This window comes from Homo sapiens, chromosome 22, assembly GCF_000001405.40.
Source record: "Homo sapiens chromosome 22, GRCh38.p14 Primary Assembly".
In the NCBI taxonomy this organism is placed as follows: domain Eukaryota; kingdom Metazoa; phylum Chordata; class Mammalia; order Primates; family Hominidae; genus Homo; species Homo sapiens.
Window position 1 is genome coordinate 32413468 of NC_000022.11, and position 23505 is coordinate 32436972.

A 23505-nucleotide genomic window follows, 5' to 3' on the forward strand; every position below is an offset into this window, starting at 1 on the left:
CTTCCCTTTTCTATGTCTTATTTTATTTTATTATTTTTTTGAGTTGGAGTCTTGCTCTGTCGCCAGGCTGGAGTGCAGTGGTGCCATCTCGGCTCACTGCAACCTCCGCCTCCCAGGTTCAAGCGATTCTCCTGCCTCAGCCTCCCAAGCAGCTGGGACTACAGGTGCGTGCCACCACTCCCAGTTAATTTTTGTATTTTTAGTAGAGACTGGGTTTCACCATGTTGGCCAGGATAGTCTCGACCTCTTGACCTCATGATCCGCCCACCTTGGCCTCCTAAAGTGCTGGGATTACAGGCATGGCCTACTGTGGCTGGCCTCTTATTTTATTTTTTAAAAATTCAGGGCAGGCCATTTCTCAAATAAAAAAACCAAGATTGAAGTTGATAGAAAACAATTTTAATTAAACACAGAAGATAGTAACAGTGAATATAAAACATGAAAACCAATATGCAGGTAGGGGAAAACCACTAGAGGGCCTAAGGGATTTCCACTGAGAATGACCAATACAAATACAGACTTAGAGTTGCTTACCCACCTGGTCAGAAGTACATGCCTAGCTCTTGTCCTAGAATCTTTCTTGCCCCAAACAAACAAACAAACATAAACACAGACACACGCAGCATGCATACACTCACATTCAGACACCTCTATTTATCCCTTTAACAGAGTCTGCCTTATTCTGGGTTCCTGAAGGCTTAAGAAAGAAAACTTTCTGCCTAAGCAATTCACAAGGGCTTTACAATTCCAGTGTGTACTGTCTTTCCCTTCTGGGTTTACAGTAGTTGTAGGATTAAGGACCATTTACTTCCTGGGGTGAATTGCAAACCGGCAATCAAGGGGCTGACTTCCCCCTCCACTGTCTGCTTATCAGGTTCAGACCTTCCCATACGTGGAAACTTGGCTGCTGCTTTGAGGATGTTTCATACTTCAGGTCGGTGGAAATCAAAAGGAAACCCTGGAAAGGATGTGACAATGAAGATAACGTCAAAACTTGGGCATGTCTGGGTTTGTCTGAGGCGTGAGGAAGAGATGGCTTCTTTTTTTTATTATTTTAATTTTGAGATGGAGTCTCAAAGGCTGTCGCCCAGGCTGGAGTGTGGTGGTGCGATCTTGGCTCACTGCAAGCTCCGTCCCTCGGTTTCAAGTGATTCTCGTGCCTCAGTCTCCCAAGCAGCTGGGACTACAGGTGTGTGCCACCACACCCGGCTAATTTTTGTATTTTTAGTAGAGACAGGGTTTCACCATTTTGGCCAGGCTGGTCTCGAACTCCTGACCACCTCAGCCTCCCAAAGTGCTAGGATTACAAGCATGAGCCACCATGCCCAGCTGAGAGATGGTTTCTTTACCAGGTCCTACAGAGAGTCAGGCCCTCCTCTACCCTGGCCCTACTTTGTGAATGCCCCAGAGAAAGGAAAGGCCATTTTGGAGTACTGTCACCCGATGTGACTTAGCCATTGTAGAAGCAGTGGGGGAGAAGCAGGGAAGTGGGAGAGCATGCACGGTAGTGTAGGGCAGCGGTCCCCAGCCTTTTTGGCATTAGCGACTGGTTTCATGGAAGACAATTTTTCCACTGACTGGGATTGGGGGATGGTTTCGGGATGAAACTGTTCCACCTCAGATCATCAGGCATTAGTTAGATTCTCATAAGGAGCGTGCAACCTAAATCCCTTGCACAGGCAGTTCACAATAGGGTTTGTGCTCCTATGAGAATCTAATGTTGCTGCTGATCTGGTAGGAGGTGGAGCTCAGGCAGTAATGTTCACTCCTCGGCCGCTCACCTCCAGCTGTGCAACCAGGTTCCTAACAGGCCACAGACCGGGACAGGTCCTGGGCCTGGGTGTTGGGGACCCCTGGACTGTACAGGATTGGAGAATTTCTTTAGAAACATATTTCCACCTCCCCAAACAAACAACAATGCCAAAAAGAAAGAAAGAAAAAAAGGTATTCTGAAGTGAATGCATAATGATGAGCCGGAAAACGATTCGATCCCTGAACTCAAAGGTGTGTGCCTTTGGTTCAGGGGAAAGTCTTCTGACTGGGAGAATCAGAAGAGCCAGTCCTGTCCCAGCCATGCTCCTTTCCAGCTGCCTGAGCCACTTCTCTCTGAGTCCTCCTTTCCTCATCTGTAAAATGGGACTAATAATTCCAGCCTTACAGATTGTCTTGTGGAATAAGTAAAATAAAGCGTGCTAAGGGGCATCTTCTTATACTGTGGATTTGGCTGCTAAGTGAAATTGATCTTGGTCTGATTTTTAGACTCAACTCTAAATATTTTCTGTTAATTGTGATTTAAGAACTAAACATGTTTATAAGATTCCCTGGTCTGGGAAAAAGCAAAGCAGGACAAAAACAAACAACAACAACAAAAACAAGCAAAACAGGAGGAGGCTTAGTCTACTATAAAAAGAAATGGGTCAGTTAAGAGGTGAGATTTGCATTCTTACCTCAAGAACTTCAATATCTGAATTGACGAATAAGAATTTGTGTGGATTGGACAGAGGAAATCCTTGCTGCAATTTTGCTAAAATATAGAACAAGACGTAAAACAATTGGGCACAAGCACAGAGGTTTTAGCAAGCTTTTTAGTAAGAGACTGACTGACAGCTTGCTTTTTTTTTTTTTTTTTGAGATGGAGTTTTGCTCTTGTTGCCCAGGCTGGAATGTAATGGTGTGATCTTGGCTCACTGCAACCTCCACCTCCCAGGTACAGGTGATTCTCCTGCCTCAGCCTCCCGAGTAGCTGAGATTACAGATGCCCACCACCATGCCTGGCTAAGTTTTTTTGTATTTTTAGTAGAGACAGGGTTTCACCATGTTGGCCAGGCGTGTCTCGAACTCCTGACCTCAGGTGATTCGCCTGCCTTGGCCTCCCAAAGTGCTGGGATTACAGGCGTGAGCCACTGAGCCCGGCATGGACAGCTTTTTAATAGTTGATCTTTTCATTCTCCCCGGTTCCATGTTTGCATTCTCTCTGATATGTCCCTAGAATTTTCCTGGAAGAATTGCTCATTAATCTGTGATTAATAAAAAATGCACCTACAATTATGTTCATTTGGACAGTAGAGAAATGCTGTCCATTTTTAGCCTACCCGATGTATATTTTGAAAATACATAATTAGTGGGTCTTGAGAACATTTTGGTGTCTAATATACTGGGCCAGACTCCAGATGCTGCAGTTTATGAACAACTGCTGTGCAAGGAGAAGGCCCAGGATTGTCATTCATGAAAACTGTGTCTATCCAGTTAGTGGTCCTGGCATAAGAACCACGGAGATATCCCGTAGGGAAAATAATCTCGTTTCCGGTTGACTGGAAGGAGATTCTTTACTGCCTAAGGAGCATGGTTTCAATCTCCTTAACTCAACCAGAGTTGGCCGATCTTGCTGAGTTTGCAAATAGAATTGCTAACAGGGCTTGGACCTAGAATAACTAAATGTGCCACCACAGCATTGATGGTACAAACTTTGCAAATTCTGACGCTGGCCTGGATTCATGATAACATGATAGAAGTACAAGCTTCAGGGTGGAAAGTCCCAAACAATCCCCAGTGCAGCCGATGCAGATGTTAAATGTTAGCCGATGTTACAGTCACATTGTTTTCCAATAATCCCTTACCATTGGCCAGTGGGAGGACTCCAAAGTGAAGAATGGACGATAGAATATTTTCAAACCTCAAGACCTAAAATAAAAGAGGAAATAGAATCAATTGGCAGATCGGGCTTTTTTTTTTTTTTTTTGCTTTGTTACCCAGGCTGGAGTGCAGTAGTGTGATCATGGCTCTCTCCAGCCTCGAACTCCTGGGCTCAAGCAATCTTCCTGCCTCAGCCTCTCAAGCAGCTGGGACTACAAGTGTGCACCACTACACCTGGCTAAGTTAAAAAAATTTTTTTTAGGGACAGAGTCTCACTATGTTGCCCAGTCTCAAAGTCCTGGGCTCAAGCAAACCTCCAATCTTGACCTTCCAAAGTGCTAGGATTACAGGTGGGAGCCACCACACCTGGCCAATCATGGGTGCTTCGAAAGTACCATGCCTGGTTTGGATGTGTACTTTCCCAGAACTTCTTAGGCTAGAAAGCAATAACTAGGATCTTTTCAGAGGGATAATAGCTTTGTAGAAAATCATATTACAGGGTTTTCTAACTTTTTCCCTCTTGAGGACAGACACTTCTGCTTCCCTCTACACTGGATTTTGGTGATAGCAAATTCAGAGGGACTACATGGTGCCAGCAAATGTGGCAGCTCAGGTATCTACCAAGACAGTCAAGAACAACTATTAGATTTCCCAATTAGCAATCTTCCCTTTACTTACTGGGAATCTCGGCCACAGGAGTTCCCTTGTGTTACATCACGCTCCAAAGCTATTGCCATCCCCAGAACACCCAATTTTTCTTTTTTTTTTATTTAAAAATTTTTTTTTTGAGATGGAGGCTCACTCTGTCGCCCAGGCTGGAGTGCAGTGGGTATGTCTTTATCACCATTGTGAAAATGGACAATGGGAATTCACTTTTGCAGTTGGGACCTCAGAGTTTATGTATGAAACTATTATGCTACACTGCCTCTTGACGTAAAAATGACAATAACTGAAATAATTACCGTAAATATGAAAACACAGAAGTGACAATAACTGAAACAGTTACTGCGAATATGAAAATAGTGGCCACTGTTCATTTAATGCCTTCTATGTGGTCAGTGTGCTAAGTGCATTTCATATATAATCTCAGCTAATCCTTTCAACAACCCCAAGGTTGTAATTTCAGCTCCCAACTACTTGCACTGCCTATCCTGATTTCTTTTTCTCTATAGTATTTCTTTTAGTAAACACTATATTTGTTTGTTTGTTGTATGCTACTCTCAGCCTGTCACACACACATAAGCACAGTCACACACACTCTGGAACAGGGTTTCCCAGGAGTGGCACTCTTGACGTTTTGGGATGGATCATTCTTTGCTGTTGGGAGCTGTCCTGTGCACTGTGAATGTGTAGCAGCATCCCTGGCCTCTACCCACCAAGTGTCATTAGTATGTCTCCTTCCATCTCAGGCTGTGACAACCAAAAATGTCTTCAGACATTGCCAGATGTCCCTAGCTGAGAATCACTAGTTGAGAACCACTGCTTTAGAATGTAAGCGCCTTGAGGGTAGAGATTTTATCTGTTTTGTCTAGAACAGTTCCGGGCTCAATAAGTATTTATCAGTAAATGAATACCGTTAATACTAATAATTAACATTATGTAGTGCTGCCCATGAACTAGGCACTATTCTACCCGGGCATTCTGACACCGAAACCCACTTAACTTCTCTATGATAGTGCCATCCATGAATGTATGAGATAGTGATTTAGCTGATCTTCCTGAAGCTTGAGGGAAGGGGGATTCCAAGTCACATGTTGGGGTATCATCTTCCAATCAGAAAGTCACAAGGCTGGGAACCCCCCTCCCACAAAGGTATCCATACAAGCAGCATTGACCTAATTTTAGGAGATGGGCAGAAAGTGTTCAAAGAGTAAACCTAATCATGGCTTAATAATTTACATATTCCTTTGGGATATGTAACTCTATATGTCTCGTCTATAACTCTAGAGGATTATTTTATTGAGAAAACAGGCATTCCCTGAGAATGCCTGTTTTTCTAGCATTATACAATGTCTCAACAGTCTTTTGAGTTTTTAAAAAAGTATTTCTGCATAAATAAAAGTAAACTGTAGAGTTCCTCTCGTGAATGGTTAATGGGCTCAATTGATGAGTAGCTACATAAAGAATTTCAAAGTTAAGTCCTACAATTATGGAGGAATCAAGGACTCCAAGTCACAGAAAACAATTAATTCGCTATTATATATAGTAGGAGAATCCTCGTTCTTCCAGTGCTTGGTAACCCCAAGAGCTCAGATTCCTACCTCAATGTTGCTGCGATTGGACTCTGGCAAAGCAAGGCGGAATCTAAAAGAAAACAAGAAAAGTTTAAAGGATTTGAAAACAACAGCCTTAGTAGAAAGAAACCAAAAAGTAAAAGGATATTTTCAGTTCAAAAGTCACTATTTAAAAAAAAACACACAAGGCTGGGCATGGTGGCCCACGCCTGTAATCCCAGCATTTTGGGAGGCCAAGGCAGGCAGATAACTTGAGGTCAGGAATTTGAGACCAGCCTGGCCAACATGGTGAAACCCTGACTCTACTAAAAAAATGCAAAAATTAGCCAGGCATGGTGACATGTGCCTGTAGTCCCAGCTACTTGGAAGGCTGAAGCAGGAGAATTGCTTGAACCTGGGAGGTGGAGGCTACAGTGAGCCAAGATCATGCCACTGCACTCCAGCCTGGGTATCAGAGTGAGACCCTGTCAAAAAAAAAAAAAAAAAAAAACAGATAAAAATAAAACACACACACACAAATAAAACTGGGAAGACATCGAGTTCTATTACATCTTCTACCCCTATATTTTGCTGCTTAAGAAGCAGAGCAGGAATAGTTTAGGGCTTGGATTTGTAACCAGGGTGGGTTCCCCAAGGGCGTTTGCTACACGGAACTTAATGTTGGCAACTTGGAATGTAGAACAATCTTAAGAAACAGTTTTGGCCGGGCATGGTGGCTCAAGCCTGTAATCCCAGCACTTTGGGAGGCCGAGGCGGGCGGATCATGAGGTCAGGAGATCGAGACCATCCCGGCTAACACGGTGAAACCCCATCTCTACTAAAAAATACAAAAAATTAGCAGGACATGGTGGTGGGCACCTCTAGTCCCAGCTACTCGGGAGGCTGAGGCAGGAGAATGGTGTGAACCCGGGAGGCACAGCTTGCAGTGAGCAGAGATCGCGCCACTGCACTCCAGCCTGGGTGACAGAGCAAGACTCCGTCTCAAAAAAAAAAAAAAAAAATAGTTTTCAGGTTTCTGGCTCTGAACTCAGCCTCAGCCTTGTAACTTCCCTGAGCCTTTATAATCCCAGTCTACTTGACACTAAATTCTATGACCAGTCTAGGCCACACCCATCAGAAAGCCACATCACTCACACCATTTTTTTAGCTGTTCAATCGTTGCAGATAAGGGAAGCATTAGCTAAGAAAGCTATCTGATGTGAAAGGTACAGTATAATTGTTAGTAACCCCATTTCTGCCTCTTCTTAACTCTGTAGATTTACTTAATCTCTCTGGATCTTAATTTTCTCAACTATGAAATATGAATAAGAATATGTGAAATGACTATAGTTAACAATAATATATTGTGTAGTTTCAAATAGCTAGAGGGAAGATAGAACAGCCTCAACACAAATAAATGACAAATGTTTGAGATAATAGACACGCTAATTGCCTTGATCTGATCACTATACATTGATACACATTGAAACATCACTAGGTACTCCATGAATGTAAAATTACGATATGTCCATTAAACAATACAATTAAAAAAGAACAATACCTGCCTCGCAGGGCTGTAGTGAAAATTGAATGAAATGATGCACATAAAATGCTTAGAACTGTGCCTAGCATATCCTTATCACTCTGAATATGAGCCATTTTTATTAGGAAGAGAAATGCTAACAGTTATAACAGCACATAATGTCCTTGATGTTCTTTTTCAAATATCAACAGAGCACTTGCTGTAGGTCCAAGTAGAAGGGAGTCCTCCTCCCTGACCCCTCTCCCAGCTTGGTAAGGCTGAGTGACAGCGTGTCCTGTTGCTTGATATTTTATGGGAATTTTCATAAGAAAACTCAAGGTCAACGTTGTCTGTTTCCCAATTTTGCCAAGAGCTGATCCATAAGTAGTCCTCCCAATATACACAGTTGATTTTTCTATGCAATAATAATGATACTATGAAGAAATAGTAATGAATAGAGAAGACTCCTTCATTTTGCAGAGGGAGAAACTGAAGGTCAAAGAGGAGAAATATTAACGGCAGATTTGTTACTGGGACTCAGATCTCCTGATGCCCATCCCAGAGCTCTCTTTTTCGTATCTTGCTTTTCCTCTTAGCTTTCTATGGCTCACTTTTGCCCAGGTCTAGAGCCCTACTTCTGCATCAGCCTTCTAACAAATCTCCCTGTTTCCACTATTGACCCTTTCCAATCCATCTTCTACACCATCCCCAGGGGAAGCTACGTTACAGGCATGTCTGATAGAGATACTCTCCTGATCAAAATTCTTGTATTCCTAGGATTGAGTACAGAGGTACTTAATGTTCACTTATTCATTGATTGGGTCATCCAGCAAATATTTATTATGTGTCAGCACTGGGACAGGTGCTAGAGATAGCAGCCTTGTGAGCAAAACTAGACACAACCACTGTTCTCATGTAGCTTACCACCTAGTGGGGTGGCAATCATTAATCAAATCATCCCACTAATTAAGGTTTAATTACAATTGAGATAAATGCTCTTAAGGAAAGAAACAATTTCGTGGAGTCAAAATACAAAGAGGAACTTGATTTCATTTGGTAGATGTAGGAAGGTTTCCAGGGGAGGGCTGCTTGAGCTGAAATATGAAGGATGAATAAGATTCAAAAGGCAGAATGGGGAACGGAGTGGGGAGGGTTCCAGGCAGGGGTTGCAAAAGCCCCACGGAGGGAACTGAGAGCTGGGAGAGCACAGCAGGGCGATGCGAGAGGCAGACAGGATTGACTAGGCTCAGTGCCTCTGGCTGTGTTACGATTTTCATTTTTTATCCTCAGAGCAAGAAATCCAATGAAGGTTTTTTAAGAAAGGAGATGATGTCTGTGTTTTATAAAGATCACTCTGGCTGCAGCATGGAGAAAAGAACAGCAGGCCAACAGGTTACCCAGGTGCTCATTCTGTGCTCAGGAATGTGCGAGGCAATGTGAAGAATTTAACCTCTACCTATAATTATGAGGGATGGAGAGAAGTCGTTTGTAGAAGGTAGAGAACAACACAAAGCAAGGTATACTCAGGTGCTTCTTCATGGGTTTACACACCATACAGACTTGCTGCAGAGACTCTAAAAAGGGTGTGAAGCTGGGCGCGGTGGCTCACACCTGTAATCCCAGCACTTTGGGAGGCTGAGACGGGTGGATCACCTGAAGTCAGGAGTTCGAGACCAGCCTGGCCAACATAGCAAAACCCCATCTCTACTAAAATTACAAAAATTAGCCAGGCATGGTGGCACGTGCCAGTAATCCCCAGCTACTCGGGAGGCAGAGGCAGGAGAATTGCTTAAAACTGGGAGGCAGGGGTTGCAGTGAGCCAAGATCATACCGCTGCATTTCAGTCTGGGCGACAGAGCAAGACTACGTTTTGAAAAAAAAAAGAGAGTGCGAAAAGATGAAGAAACCAGCGTAGGCTAGAGTTGTGTGTGTGTATGTGTGTGTGTGAGCATGCATGTGTATGTGATATGGGGCATATCATGGGGGGAAAACAAGTTTCCCTTTGAGAGAAGACTCTGTACACATCTCTAGCATGTCCTTGGCACCCAGTACTGTTTCTCCCACCAGGCTGTGGACTGGGAAAATAGAAACCATTGTCCTTCTGTGTTAAAAACAGTGCAAAGCACATAATAGGTTCTCAGTAAATTCTTACTGAATGGATGTGTGGATAAATGAGCGGATGAAGGACATGGGTTGGGGAGTGTTTGTTGGAATTGGGGTCACTTTGAAGGTGAGCCAGTCTAAAGCAGAATGTTCATTTTAGTGAGCTTAGGAAGATAAGGTTGGCCGGCTTGAGAAGTAGGACCAGTGGATGAAGAGCTTGAAAACCTCAGACGGTGGATTTAATCCAATGATGAAAAGTTTTAAAGGGAAGAATGTGTTGAACCCATTCCACTATTAAAGGACCCTTTTGATGAGTAAGAGTTATCCAATGTTTGAATTTCATTGTTTCCTGCAGCCTGGAAATTCTGGAAGAAGCTTCCATTTGGGGTTTCCTCCTCTGGCAGGGGCTACCCCACTGTGGCATTCTTCTGCCATGGCTTCAAGAGTAGTTCAGAGGAAGGGTGGAGTTGGGGGGGTCAGCCCAGGTGCCAAGTCTGAGCTCCACTGACTTGTCCATCATTGGGAATTGTTTATATGCCCAAGCTTGAGGAGTAGAGTTAGGTAGTGATTCCATCTGCTTGTAGTCAGCTATATTTGCATTCTCTCGCTATGTTGCTTGGGAGGAGTTGTAGGGTGTGGGTGTGTGTGTGTGTGTGTGTGTGTGTGTGTTGTGGATGTGTGTTGATGGTGGAGTTCAATTTGGAGTGTCCAAAGTCTCAATCAATGCAATGTCAAAAAAAAAACAAAAAAACCTCCTAAGTTATAGATGGCTCAACAGTAACGTACATCTGATTGCCTTGAGCTTTGCATGGGATTAAGAAAAGAGGGTTAGAATTAAGTGATCTGGATGAAGACCAAAAAAGGGAAAGTGTCATTTAACTTGGCCTCTGAAGTAATCTAAAATATGTCTACTATGTGGGCCAAACTGTACTGAGGTTGCCTCCAAAGAGAAGTATGTTTGGAACAACTCTCAATTGTAAATAGAGCAGTGAGTCTGGTTTAAAACTCCACAGCTTTAAAAACCATCCTGACTTGTCATGTCTCTTGGGATCAGTTTCTCCCTGTTATTTGGTCAAAATTTGATCTTAGAATGGGGAAAAAGAATGAAATACTAGTACTACTAGGAACAAATATTTCTGGATCAATGACTATATGCTGACTGTTGTGCTAAGTGATTTACATACATTATCTCATCCACCCATACAACAACCCTATGGAGGGGTGTTCTGTTTTGCTAATGAGGAAACTGATACTTAACGAGGTTAAGTAACTTGCTTAAGGTCACTAGGTAGCAAGTGGCAGAGGTAGAATTCAAATCCAGATATGCCTGACTCCAGAGACTGTGCTCTTAACTAGACATGCTCAAAGAGTTCAAGTGTATTATTAGAATTGCTAGTTTTTTACTTTCTTCACCATTTTCTCCCCTTGATTCCTTGATGCGGTGACAAAAGTGCTGTGTGTTTTTTTCTATTTCAGCACAACCAGTTCCAGTGTTTTCTCTTTCTTTTATCAATGCTGAATATTGAAAAAGGGCATGCTGCCTGTTTCAACTTAGCGTGACTCCATGCTTATGGGTTTCCTCTTCCAGGCAAGGGTATAAAGGTATTTATTTCCTAAATCTTAAGTGTTATTTTCTTTCTTCTTCTTCTTCTTCTTCTTCTTCTCCTCCTCCTCCTCCTCCTCCTCCTCCTCTTCTTCTTCTTCTCTTCTTCTTCTTCTTCTTCTTCTTCTTCTTCTTCTTCTTCTTCTTCTTCCTCTTCTTCTTCCTCTTCTTCTTCCTCTTCTTCTTCCTCTTCTTCTTCCTCTTCTTCTTCCTCTTCTTCTTCTTCTTCTTCTTCTTCTTCTTCTTCCTTTTTTTTTGAGACGGAGTTTTGCTCTTGTCGCCCAGGCTAGAGTGCAGTGGTGTGATCTCGGCTCACTGCAACCTCCGCTTCCTGCATTCAAGCGATTCTCCTGCCTCAGCCTCCAGAGTAGCTGGGATTACAGGCATGCACCACCATGCCCAGCTAATTTTTGTATTATTAGTAGAGATGGAGTTTCACCATGTTGGCCAGGCTGGTCTCGAACTCCTGACCTCAGATGATTCACCTGCCTCGGCCTCCCAAAGTGCTGAGATTATAGGCGTGAGCCACCACGCCTGGCCTTGCCTTATTTTCTAAGTCAAAGCTCTTCACTACATCAAAGGCAGTATACTGTGGTAAGTAAATACTCACTGCTTTGAAAGCGGACTCACCCAGGTTCAAGTTCTGGCTCAGCCATTCAATAGCTCTGTGACCTTCAGTAAGTTATTTAATCTCTACAAACTGTAAAATGGGGATAATAGTACCTACCTCTAGGACCGTTCATTTAATCTACTGACATTTATTGAGCACTGTGCCAGGCCCTGGAGACACAGAGTTGTAAGATTTAAAATGAAATAATAGAGGTGTTGGGCTTGGCACAGGACCTAGTAGATGACAAAGATCCAATAATAAACAATAGCCATGAATTATACAAAAAAGGACTATTTCTTAGCTATCCATGGGCAGGATACAGGGGAGCGAAGTGTATTCTGAATCAGGGGACTCTGGAAATGATCTTGTACGATTGAGCACCTCCTTGTCCTGGCTGAGGCTATCTCTAAATTTGAAATCATAGTCAAAGCCAACAGCTAAGAAATAGTCTTTTTTTGGTACAGTTCATGACTATTCTTTATTATTGGGCCTTTACCGTCTATTAGGTCCCGTGCCAAGCCCGGTGCCTCTGTCATTTCATTTAAACCTTACAACTCCGTGTCTCCAGGGCCTGGAACAGTGCACAATAATGGTCAATAGATTAAATGAATGGTCCTGGAGGTAGGTACTATTATTCCCGTTTTATGCTTTATGGAGATTAAATAACTTACACCCAAGATCACAGAGCTATTGAATGGCAACCACACACTTTACCTGTATTAACTCTCATACTTCTCACAACCTTCTCCTGAAGTAGTCTTTATTACACCATTTTACAGAGGAGGAAATGGAGTCCAAGAGAGGTTAAGAAACTCGCCTGAGATGCCAGAGCTAATTAGTGGCAGCACTGGGATCAGAACCAGACCAGCTAGTCTGACTCCAAAGCCTGTGATCCTACAGTCTGTCTAGACCACCAACACGGGGTTTGTCTCTGATTTCTGTATTTGCTGTCTATGCAGCCAGCCCCGAGCAGCTCCAGGAAGAGGCACATTCAGGCAGGGGATAGTTAGAGAGGCCATGTTGTTCTGGGGAGAGTAATTTGGAGCCCCCGTGTTCCCTGGTTCTTCTCAGGGATGTTCCACTGATCTCCACCCACTTGATCCTTTTCCTGCTGCATCTCTCTGATATCACCCAAGACCAAACCAGCTCATCTTGAAAAGCCTGGGGAGCCCAGGAGTGGAGGAGCCAGCTGGGGCAGCCTGCATGGGAGGCAGGGCTAGGGATCCTACTGCCAGAGCCCAGGGCTGTCATTTCAACACAGCCTTGGCTCCTCTGCAAAGTCTTGCCTCCTGGTTTGGCTGCTTTAAACCTGAGTGAGGCCCAGCCCACCTGCCTTGCCCCCAGCCTGCTCACTGCCTGAGGTTTGCTATAACACCCCATGCAGGAGACACCCTCACTTGTGCTTAGAAGCCCCCTGTGCTTGGTTTAATGCCTTGCCATCTCTATCTTAAAATTCTTGACCAGGCACGGTGGCTCACGCCTGTAATCCCAGCACTTTGGGAGGCCGAGGCGGGTGGATCACCTGAGGTCAGGAGTTCGAGACCAGCCTGGCCAACATGGCGAAACCCCGTCTCTACTAAAAATACAAAAATCAGCCATGTGTGGTGGCACACGCCTGTAATCCCAGCTACCCAGGAGGCTGAGGCAGGAGGATCACTGGAACCCGGGGTGCAGAAGCTCCAGTGAACCAAGATCGTGCCACTGCACTCCAGCCCTGGCAACAGAGCAAGACTCTGTCTGAAAAAAAAAAAAGAAAGAAAGAAAAAAGAAATTCTTAATCCTTTTGAAAAGAGGCTCTGCATTTTCATTTTGCAGTGGGCCCTGCAAATTATGTAGCCAGCCCTGCTCAGACCCAGCTAAGGCATCAGAGCACCAGAAGTCTGCCCAGCGGAGAATTTCCAGGAGACTGCTGGGCAACAGACAACAAGCCAGAGGTCCTAATTTCAGGGTTCATGTTCATGAGGTCAAAGAACTCTGTGGACTGTAGGAAGCCAAGAGAATGAATTCACACATTTCCGGGATGATGTAAATTTATCGGCTTAAAACAGTTTTTTCTATTACTCCCATAAATAAACATAACAGCCATTGAACGTGCTGTTGCTTACTAGTATTATAGAAACATTAGAGATAAGGCTCAGTTTGATTTAAGCAGAAAAGTGAACCTGGTCTCCATGCTTCTTAAAGTCTTTTGCACCTTCTTGCCACAACCCTGAAGTTGAATCATGATTAAATTCTTCCTTGAGATCCTGCCAGTAAACCAGACACCTGCTCAGATGCAAGTGTTGTTTCTACCTTCTCTAGGAACCTTCTGCCTCAGTTAGCAGCCCTGCCCCTGTGCCCCGCCCCGCATCACTCCCCATTTCCAGCCTTTCCTTTCCTCCTGGTTCTTTCCTCTTTGTTTCCCAACAGACTGAGCATCACGGTCCCGATGCTCAGGCAATGCTATCCAGATTCTCTCCTTCCTTCCGCTCGTGGCCGATCTCAGATGCTGCCAATTTCTCACCTTTGGTTCCTTCCCCCCTCACCCTCATGCTCTCTGGCTTTCATCCTCTGTATTAGAACTGCCAAATATCACACCTGTAATCCCAGCACTTTGGGAGGCCAAGGTGGGTTGATCACGAGGTCAAAAGATCAAGACCATCCTGGCCAACATGGTGAAACCCCGTCTCTACTAAAACTACAAAAATTAGCTGGGCGTGGTGGCGTGCGCCTGTAGTCCCACCTGCTCAGGAGGCTGAGGCAGGAGAATCACTTGAACCTGGGAGGCAGAGGTTGCAGTAAGCCCAGATCGTGCCACTGCACTCCAGCCTGGGTGACAGAGCGAGATTCTGTCTCAAAACAAAACAGAACAAAACAAAACAAAAAAGAACTGCCAGATAAAGATCACTCTTCATGGTTCAGAGTTTCATCAGCCTGATTCCCTGGAAATGGGGTCACCTCATGACTTCTGGAGGCCTGAGGCACTTTTGTCTTTGGGGACCTTTCTTCTGTTAAAAAAAATGAAAATTATATTTTATAACTATTTGATATAAAGATAAGTATGATCAAGTCTAAATTGTATTCATTTTTAAAAATTATTATTTTAAAATACATTAAAACGTGTGTGTGTGTGTGTGTGCGCGCGCGTGTGTGTGTGTGTGTGTGCTTTTGGACAGGGTCTTGCTCTGTCGCCCAGATTGAGATCATAGCTCACTGCAGCCTCGACTTCTTGGGCTCAGGCAATCCATTCACCTTGGCCTCCCAAAGTGCTGGGATTACAGGTGTGTGCCACCCTGCCCGGCCTCTCATGGGCTTTTAAAGTATTGTGGCTCTAGGCACTGTGCCTATTGTGCCTAAAGGAAGCTAATGAAGAAGTCAGGACTGCTTTGAAGGGCTTGGTAAATGCGAGTAAACCTTCGTAAAACCTTTTCTTTCTGGGAAACCATACTACTTTAAACAAACAAACAAACAAACAAAACATTGTATTTCTGGGCATGGTGGCTCACGCCTGTAATCCCAGCACTTTGGGAGGCCGAGGCCCCAGATCGCCTGAGGTCAGGAGTTTGAGACCAGCCTGGCCAACATGGTGAAACCCCATCTCTACTAAAAAATACAAAAATTAGCCAGGTGTGGTGGCAGGCGCCTGTAATCCCAGCTACTTGGCGGGCTGAGGCAGGAGAATCACTTGAACCCGGGAGGCGGAGGTTGTAGTGAGCCGAGATCGCACCCCTGCACTCCAGCCTGGGTGACAGAGTAACACTCCATCTCAAAAAAAAACAAAATTATATTCCCTTTGTTGGAAAAACAATATACTTACAAAGAAAATTTTAATGAAAAAAGAACCCTCTCATAATCCCATATCCTAATACAACTCTTCATTTTCAGTTTTGTGATTCACTTCCTTGTCCAGATGCAAAGCTATTTTCCTCTTCCGGATGCAAAGCTATTTTCCTCTTCCAGATGCAAAGCTATTTTATACAATTAACAGCTGTTGTGTTTGTGCAGTTTTGTATTCTGTTTTTTCCATTTAACATAATTTTCTTGAAAACATTTTCCATGTTTCTTTTCTTTTTTTCTTTTTCTTTTTTTTTTCTGAGATGGAGTCTCGCTCTGTCCCCCAGGCTGGAGTGCAGTGGCGCCATCTCGGCTCACTGCAAGCTCGGCCTCCCGAGTTCACGCCATTGTCTTGCCTCAGCCTCCCAAGCAGCTGGAGCTACAGGCGCCCGCCACCACGCCCAGCTAATTTTTTGCATTTTCAGTAGAGACGGGGTTTCACCATGTTAGCCAGGATGGTCTCGATCTCCTGACCTCATGATCCGCTCGCCTCAGCCTCCCAAAGTGCTGGGATTACAGGCGTGAGCCATGGCAACTGGCCTTTGTTTTTTTTTTTTTTTTTTTTTTTTTTTCATGAAGTCCCGCTCTGTTGCCCAGGCTGGAGTGCAGTGGCGCAATCTCTGCTCACCACAACCTCCACCTCCCGGCTTCAAGCAATTCTTCTGTCTCAGGCTCCCGAGTAGCTGGGATTACAGGCACATGCTACCATGCCCGGCTAATTTTTGTATTTTTAGTAGAGATGGGGTTTCACTATGTTGGCCAGGCTGGTCTCGAACTCCTGACCTCATCATCTACTTGTCTCGTCCTCCCAAAGTGCTGGGATTACAGGTGTGAGCGACCGCGCCTGGCCATTTTCCATGTTTCCACAATAGACTTCATAACTACCACGTTGACTTGTGATTGATTTACTCCCCCTCTGCTGGTTTCTCAGATCTTTTCTGACTCTGCTTACGTCTGTTTCATTGCTTCCTTTTCTTCCATACATTTAGTCTATGCCGTCTAATCTTTCTGTAAATTCTCCCCCCAGGTAGTCTGATGGATGACTTCAACTACCAGCTTTATAGGGCTGAGGAAAATGGGCTTTGCAGACGGTTCTGCCGAATGGCACTTAGTGGTCAATGATCTGCGTCTGTGGCCTGCACATGGCCTTTCACCGTGTGTCACATGCATTTGACAGTCAGACAGGCCATGGGGAAGATCTTGTTAACTTCTCTGTTCTAGTAATGGGATCAGATGGTCAGAGTCTGAAGGTACCTTAGGCATGATCCAGTTCAACTTCCTTATTTGCAGATAAGGAAACTGAGGCTCAAGGAGGTTAACAGACTGGATCACAGTCATAGAGCCTGTGAATAAGGACTGGAAACTTGGTTCCTTAACTCCCAAAGCTTTATGCTCTTTCCTCACTAGCATGCTCTATGAATTTGATAAAGAAGAACTGAAGTTTATATTGCTGTACCATTAGAATGTACACTTCTATTACAGAATTATATATATATTCTTTGTATGTTTATATAAAATAAATAAAAATAAAATATAGGAAATAAATATAATATATAAAACATAATATATTTTATAAAATGTTTTATATAAATATAAAAATATATTTATTACATATGTAATATTTTATGTATTTAATTTGTATATGTATATAAAATATATAATATAAAATATGTGAGAGAGATATATTTTTTTGAGAGACAAGGTCTCATTCTATTGCTCAGGTTGGAGTGCAGTGGCACGATCATAGCTCACTGTAATCTCAAACTCCTGGGCTCAAGCAATTCTTCCCTCTCAGCTTCCTGAGTAGTTGGGATTACAGCGGTGCACACCACGCCTAGCTAATTTTTAAAAAAGCTTTTGTAGAGATGAGGTCTCACTTTGTTGCCCAGGCTGGGCTCAAACTCCTGGCCTCAAGCAATCCTCCCACTCCCAAATTGCTGGGATTACAGGTGAGAGCCTGTAAGATGGCACCTGACCATATTACAAAATTATATTTATAATTATTTTGTTCCCTATTTTATTTTTATGTTACTATAATGGAAAAAAGAAAAGCTTGACAGTACCATTTTTAGTAAAGTACATACTTTAAAGTTATCTGGCCCATTACAGGAGAGGTGCTTAACTGACTCATGTTCACACAATGGTTAACGTCCCTTTTTTTTTTTTTTTGAGACAGAGTCTCACTGTCACCCAGGCTGGAGTGCAGTGGTGTGATCTTGGCTTACTGCAACCTCTGCCTCCCGGGTTCAAGCGATTCTCCTGCCTCAGCCTCCTGAGTAGCTGAGATTACAGATCACTTGTTTTCTTAATGGTCACTTTGTCTCTGATCAGTTGACTCACTTATTACTAAGGTGCCCCAACAGTCAAATTGATTGATCTTACCTGTTCAGAGACAAGGAGCAGACCAGTCTTTGTCCCAAAATAACCAGGCCAACACTGGTACTAGCAACCTATAGACAATAAAAGCATTTATTATTAAGACGAGTGAGTGTCAATTTTGGCCATCAGTATAATTTCCAATAGTTGAAACATTATAAGCCCAACATTCCCCCTTAGTGTAAAGACATTGGAAGTCTAAAAGACATTGGAAATACAGACCTCTGAAAATCCTGTCTTGTAGTTAGGGAAGCTACCTGCAAAGACTTTTTGTTTGATGATCTCCTTTGAATTTTTTTTTTCTCCTAATCGCTCTTCTTTATGTATGTGTGTGTATGTGCCTATGTGCGTATGACATTTTTGTTAGGTTTATTATGTCCTTCTATCAGATTGCATTTGGCCTTCATTTGCTCAAGTAAAAATGAATTCTACCTTGATTGACTTATTTAGATTAAAAAAAAAGAGAGAATTCCAGCTGTCCATGTAACTGAGGTAGGTGGTGGGAAGAGCGTGCATGAAGTAGAGACTGGAGAGATTTTACAATGTATGAGAGTGTGAGTGCTTACCTCCCATCCTGCCACACATACCCTTCCCTCAACTCTGACCTCACTGAGACAGGGTCTTACCCTGTTGCCCAGACTGGAGTGCAGTGGTGCAATCATAGCTCACTGTAGCCTCAAACTCCTGGGTTCAGAGCAACACTTCCACCTCAGCCTCCTGAGTAGCTAGGATGACAGGTGCACAACACCACCACACCTGGCTAATTCAAACAATTTTTTTTTTTTTGGAGAGATGAGGTCTTGCTATGTTACCCAGGCTGGTCTCTAACTCCTGGCCTCAAGCAATCTTCCTGCTTCAGCCTCCCAAGACACTGGAATTATAGGCATGAGCCATCACGTCCAGCCTCCATCCTCACTCTTAATCAATGTAGCATCCCCACCCTCTTCAAACGTTTAAAAGCTGCTGGCCAACAGTCCACAGCAGGAGCAGGATTGGCATCTACAGGCTGCTCCACTGTCTCCCCAGACTTACGAAGTCCATGGAAACGATGGTTTCAACTGTGGAGTTCTTGGGTTGGGTGAGCATCATGATGGAGGCAGGGATGTCCAGGGTGAAATTGCCTGGTTGTAGATTGATTATGGGAGGCTCTGTGGCCATGATCCTCACCATGAAGGGCTGGGACAAGATGTAGATCTCTGCAATCTGCCCACATTCCGAGAAAGAAATAAAGATTGTGAGGCGTGAGTTGGTGAAGGGAGATCACAAGGTTAGGATGGCCTGTGGTGACTAAATCTTACATTGTGCAGTTAGAATAGAAAAAAAGCTCTTTAATAATCATAATTACACACAAAAATCAAACGATGATAACAGTTGGCAGTTACTGAACATAATACTTGATACTACCCACTGTGCCAGGGGCTTTATATATTATCACATTTAATCTTCAGAAAATCCCTGTGAGGCAGATTCTATCAGCATCCCTGTTTCATAGTGGAGAACGTGAGTCTTACAGAGGTTAAATGATGTTCTCAAGGTTCTAGGGGAATAAGTGGTAGAATTGGGATTCAAATCTAGGTCTGGGCTGGGCACAGTGGCTCATGCCTGTAATCCTAGCACGTTGGGAGGCTGAGATCGGTGGATCACTTGAAGCCAGGAGTTTGAAACCAGCCAGGGCAACATGGAGAAATCCTGCCTCTACAAAAAATAGAAAAATTAGCTGGGCATAGTGGCTTGTGCCTGTAGTCCCAGCTACTTGGGAGGCTGAGTTGGGAGGATCACTTGAGCAGGGGAGGCGGATATTGCAGTGAGCCAAGATCGTGCCACTGCACTCCAGCCTGGATGACAGAGCGAGACCCTGTCTCAAAAAACAAACAAACAAAAACAAATCTAGGTCTATCTGACTCAAGATCCTTGCTCTAGAACCAGGATGCTACATGAACATCTCTTTGTCCTCAAGGGCAATCCCTAGCCCGTAGGTTCATTATGTTCAATACTTAGTGTGCTACGAAGGCACAATATTAACAGTTGCTTTTTACTACAGTTACAAGTGTGGGCACTAATCCTTCATTTAAGAATTGAATCCTTCATTTCCACTAATAAATCCTTTATTTAAACTAATTATTTCAAGTATGATGGAATATTGTGGAAGGCACGGTGATTTATTTTGTGAACTTACAATTATACTCTCACTTGTATGTTAATTGCACTTTAAACTGTACTGTTCAGTAAATATTTGTAGATATTCGATTACGAGAAAAAACTCCCAATAATAGACAGAGGGACTTATCCAAAAAGGAATACGTAGAACCCACAAGTCTTCCAGAAGTAATTGCAATGGAGCCAAATACACTATCAAGACTCAAACCCTGAGCACTTACCCGGGAGAGCACGTTGCCAAGGCCTTGAGAGTTTTGAACAAAATGGTTGGAAATCTGGAAAATAAAGCCCATTATGTCACTGTTAGGATTTTACGTGGATTGTCTTTTCAGGGAAAATGTAGTGTTCCCTATAATTTGACGAATTGTGAAGCTGTTACACCATAAAATATTCAGTGTTTAAAGGTGACCTATCATTTTATAGCCCAATCATAGGGAATCCGAGGCTCAGAGAAGTAAAGTGACTTGCCCAAGGTCACACAGGATGTTATATTTCTTTTAACTCTGGGAACAATACAGTCTATTGTTAATAACTGTAGAATGTTTACACATGAATTGTACGTATGTAGTACAACAAAGTTTTAGTTATATATATATATATCTATATGTACATATTCTTTATTTTTATATATTACAACCTATCTATGTGTACATATTCTTTATATATATATTACAATCTATCTATGTGTACATATTCTTTATTTATGTATATTACAATCTAATGTGTACATATTCTTTATTTATATATATTACAATCTATGTGTACATATTCTTCATTTATATATTACACTCTATATGTACATAGTCTTTATATATATATTACACTCTGTGTACATATTCTTCATTTATATATATTACAATCTATGTGTACATATTCTTTATTTATATATATTACAATCTATGTGTACATATTCTTTATATATATTACAATCTATGTATACATATTATTTATATATATTACATCTATGTGTACATATTCTTCATTTATATATATTACAATCTATATGTACATAGTCTTTATTTATATATATATTACAATCTATGTGTACATATTCTTCACTTATATATATTACAATCTATCTATGTATACATATTCTACAGTCATTAACGATAAGCCTTGTGTTACTGTCCTCACTTTTAGGGATTACTGAGATACTGGATGCTTAAGGAATTTACCTTCAGAGATAAATGATTTTGAAGTCTGCAGCTAGAAGTGTCTAATTCTCAGTATCGTAAGATAGCCACTGCTGCCATACTTACCATTCTGAACATAAGCTTTATACCTACTTATATAATTAAAACATATAGAATGAGGAGATTCAAAAAGAGATGCTCAATAAAAGTTTTTGGTTGACTGGCTAGAGACAGTGCTGTCATTATAAAAGGGAGGTGCATGACAGAGGATCAATGAATATCTGTATTATTACTGATCATTGTAGATAAACCAGCTGTAATTACAACCAGGATAACTTTACGTCAGCATAATACAGGGAATAATGATGACAATGATGATAAGCAACAGTTATATCGCACTTATTCTGTGTTGGGGATTGGTCTGAATGCTTGACATGTATTTAAATCTTTTAATGCCCATATAAACTCTATGAGTAAGGAACTATTATTATCTGCCTTTTCCAGATGAAGAAATTCTGGCCCACAGAAGTTATATAAATTGAAATTACCTCTAAGGTCACAGGCAATACATGATGGAAAGGGATCTTGCTATTATTGGAGATTAATCTAGAACAGTGGTGAGTGGTGAGGTATTAGCAGAACTGGAAACTTGACAACTCCCCAACTAATACAGGTTGAACATTCCTAATCTGAATATCCAAAATTCAAAGTGCCCCAAAATCCAACTATTAAATGCTGACATGATACACAACGGAAATGCTTATTGGAGCATTTTAGATTTTGGATTTTCAGATTAGGGCTGCTCAACCGGTAAGTATATATAATGCAAATATCCCAAAATCTGACAAAATCCGAAATCCAGAACACTTCTGGTCCCAAGCATTTTGGATAAGGGATGCTCAACCCGTAACAATGTTCACTCCACAATTCCCTCATTCCTTCACTGTCTTGCTGGGAGTGATAGCCTAAAAAGGTCCCAGAATCGAAATTGTGGCATAAAAGTTCTACAATAGGATACTTATAAAAAGGCTGAATGATGGTGACCATTGACATCCTCAGTTAACTCTCCTCACCTCTTCGGTGGAGAGAGTGACATTGAAAACCCCAGCTGTGAAATGAGCAAAGGACGCAGATTTAAAGAAATACTCGGCGATTCCAATGTAGAGCATGGAGTTGCTGCGTTCTGGGAGCACAAAAGGAACTGGTGAGAAGGGGGGGTCGGTGAGGTTTTCCAGTGGGTAGAATACACCCTGTGGGAAAAGAGAGAGAAAGACCAGTGTATCAGGTGAAAACTCAAATTCTAAGAAGACTAAGAAGATGGACCCTCTGAAGTCAGAATAAGAATTCCAGAAGCTCGGGCCAGGTGTGGTGGCTCACGCCTATAATCCCAACACTTTGGGAGGCTGAGGCGGGTGAATCACTGGAACACTGGAGTTTGAATTGATTGAATGACTGTTTTTCCATGATCAACCTGGGCAACATGGCAGGCCCCGTTTCTATAAAAAATACAAAAATTAGCCAGGTGTGGTGGCGCGTACCTGTAGTTCCGGCTACTTGGGAGGCTGAGTGAGGTGAATCCCTTGAACCAGGGAGGTTGAAGCTGCAGTGAATTGTGACTGTGCCACTGCACTTCAGCCTCCAGCCTGGGTGACAGAGGGGGACCTTGTCCAAAAGAAGAAGAGGAAGAGGAAGAAGAAGAAGAAGAAAGAAGAGGAAGAGGAGGAGGAGGAGGAGGAGGAGGAGGAGGAAGAGGAGGAGGAGGAAGAGGAGGAGGAGGAGGGAAAAGAAGGAGAAGGAGAAGGAGAAGGAGAAGAAGAAGCATAAGAAGAAGAAGAAAAAGAAGAGGAAGAAGAAGAAGAAGAAGAATCCTAGAAACTCAGTAATGATGAAAAACTGTTAAGGCTTTCTGACTCCTTGACCAGTGACTATTTTTCAAAGCTCTTAGGATTCTTGAGCATATTTAGGTGTGTCTGTTTCACCCCAGGGTGTAACCCAATGAGAACCCTTGTTTGAACTTTTCTAAGACAAAGAAGGAGGTGTATTTAGCTGGAAGGACAACTCTGAGTAAAAGCACTTCCTGAGGTGCCATGTAGTGGTGTCAAACACTTGACCTTCAAAATCTGTGTCTGCTGAGTACCTGGGGAATCATAGAAAGAAGACCCAAGACTCCAAATGGTTTAAGGCATTTTTGTAGCATTTCTAGCACTGCTCTCATTAGCTATAGGGCGTTATTACAAAATATTGTCTTGTCCAACACTGAACTGAGTTGAAAGACTCTGGTGAGTGAAATATGAGCCAATATGCATTTTAAAAGACAATGATATTAGCTTTGGGGCAAAATG

The 23505-nt window shown here is 42.7% G+C and overlaps 1 protein-coding gene across 6 annotated transcripts in view; it reads right to left on the reverse strand.

Annotated features, from left to right (window-relative positions):
* Nucleotides 1-377: 377 nt before the first annotated feature.
* The window catches only part of BPIFC (BPI fold containing family C), a 50602-nt gene continuing 27474 nt past the window's right edge, over nt 378-23505 (reverse strand). For 5 of the 6 annotated variants that reach the window (NM_174932.3, XM_047441302.1, XM_011530090.2 and 2 more), the window contains 8 exons: nt 22237-22413; nt 20252-20305; nt 18906-19076; nt 17880-17947; nt 5895-5937; nt 3618-3681; nt 2448-2524; nt 378-958 (listed from right to left, as the gene is read on the reverse strand). In NM_174932.3, the coding sequence (NP_777592.1) occupies nt 836-958; nt 2448-2524; nt 3618-3681; nt 5895-5937; nt 17880-17947; nt 18906-19076; nt 20252-20305; nt 22237-22413 (777 nt within the window). In that variant the 3' untranslated portion in view covers nt 378-835. The remainder of the gene's footprint in view (nt 959-2447; nt 2525-3617; nt 3682-5894; nt 5938-17879; nt 17948-18905; nt 19077-20251; nt 20306-22236; nt 22414-23505) is intronic. The other variant, XM_017028740.2, reaches the window with a different exon arrangement.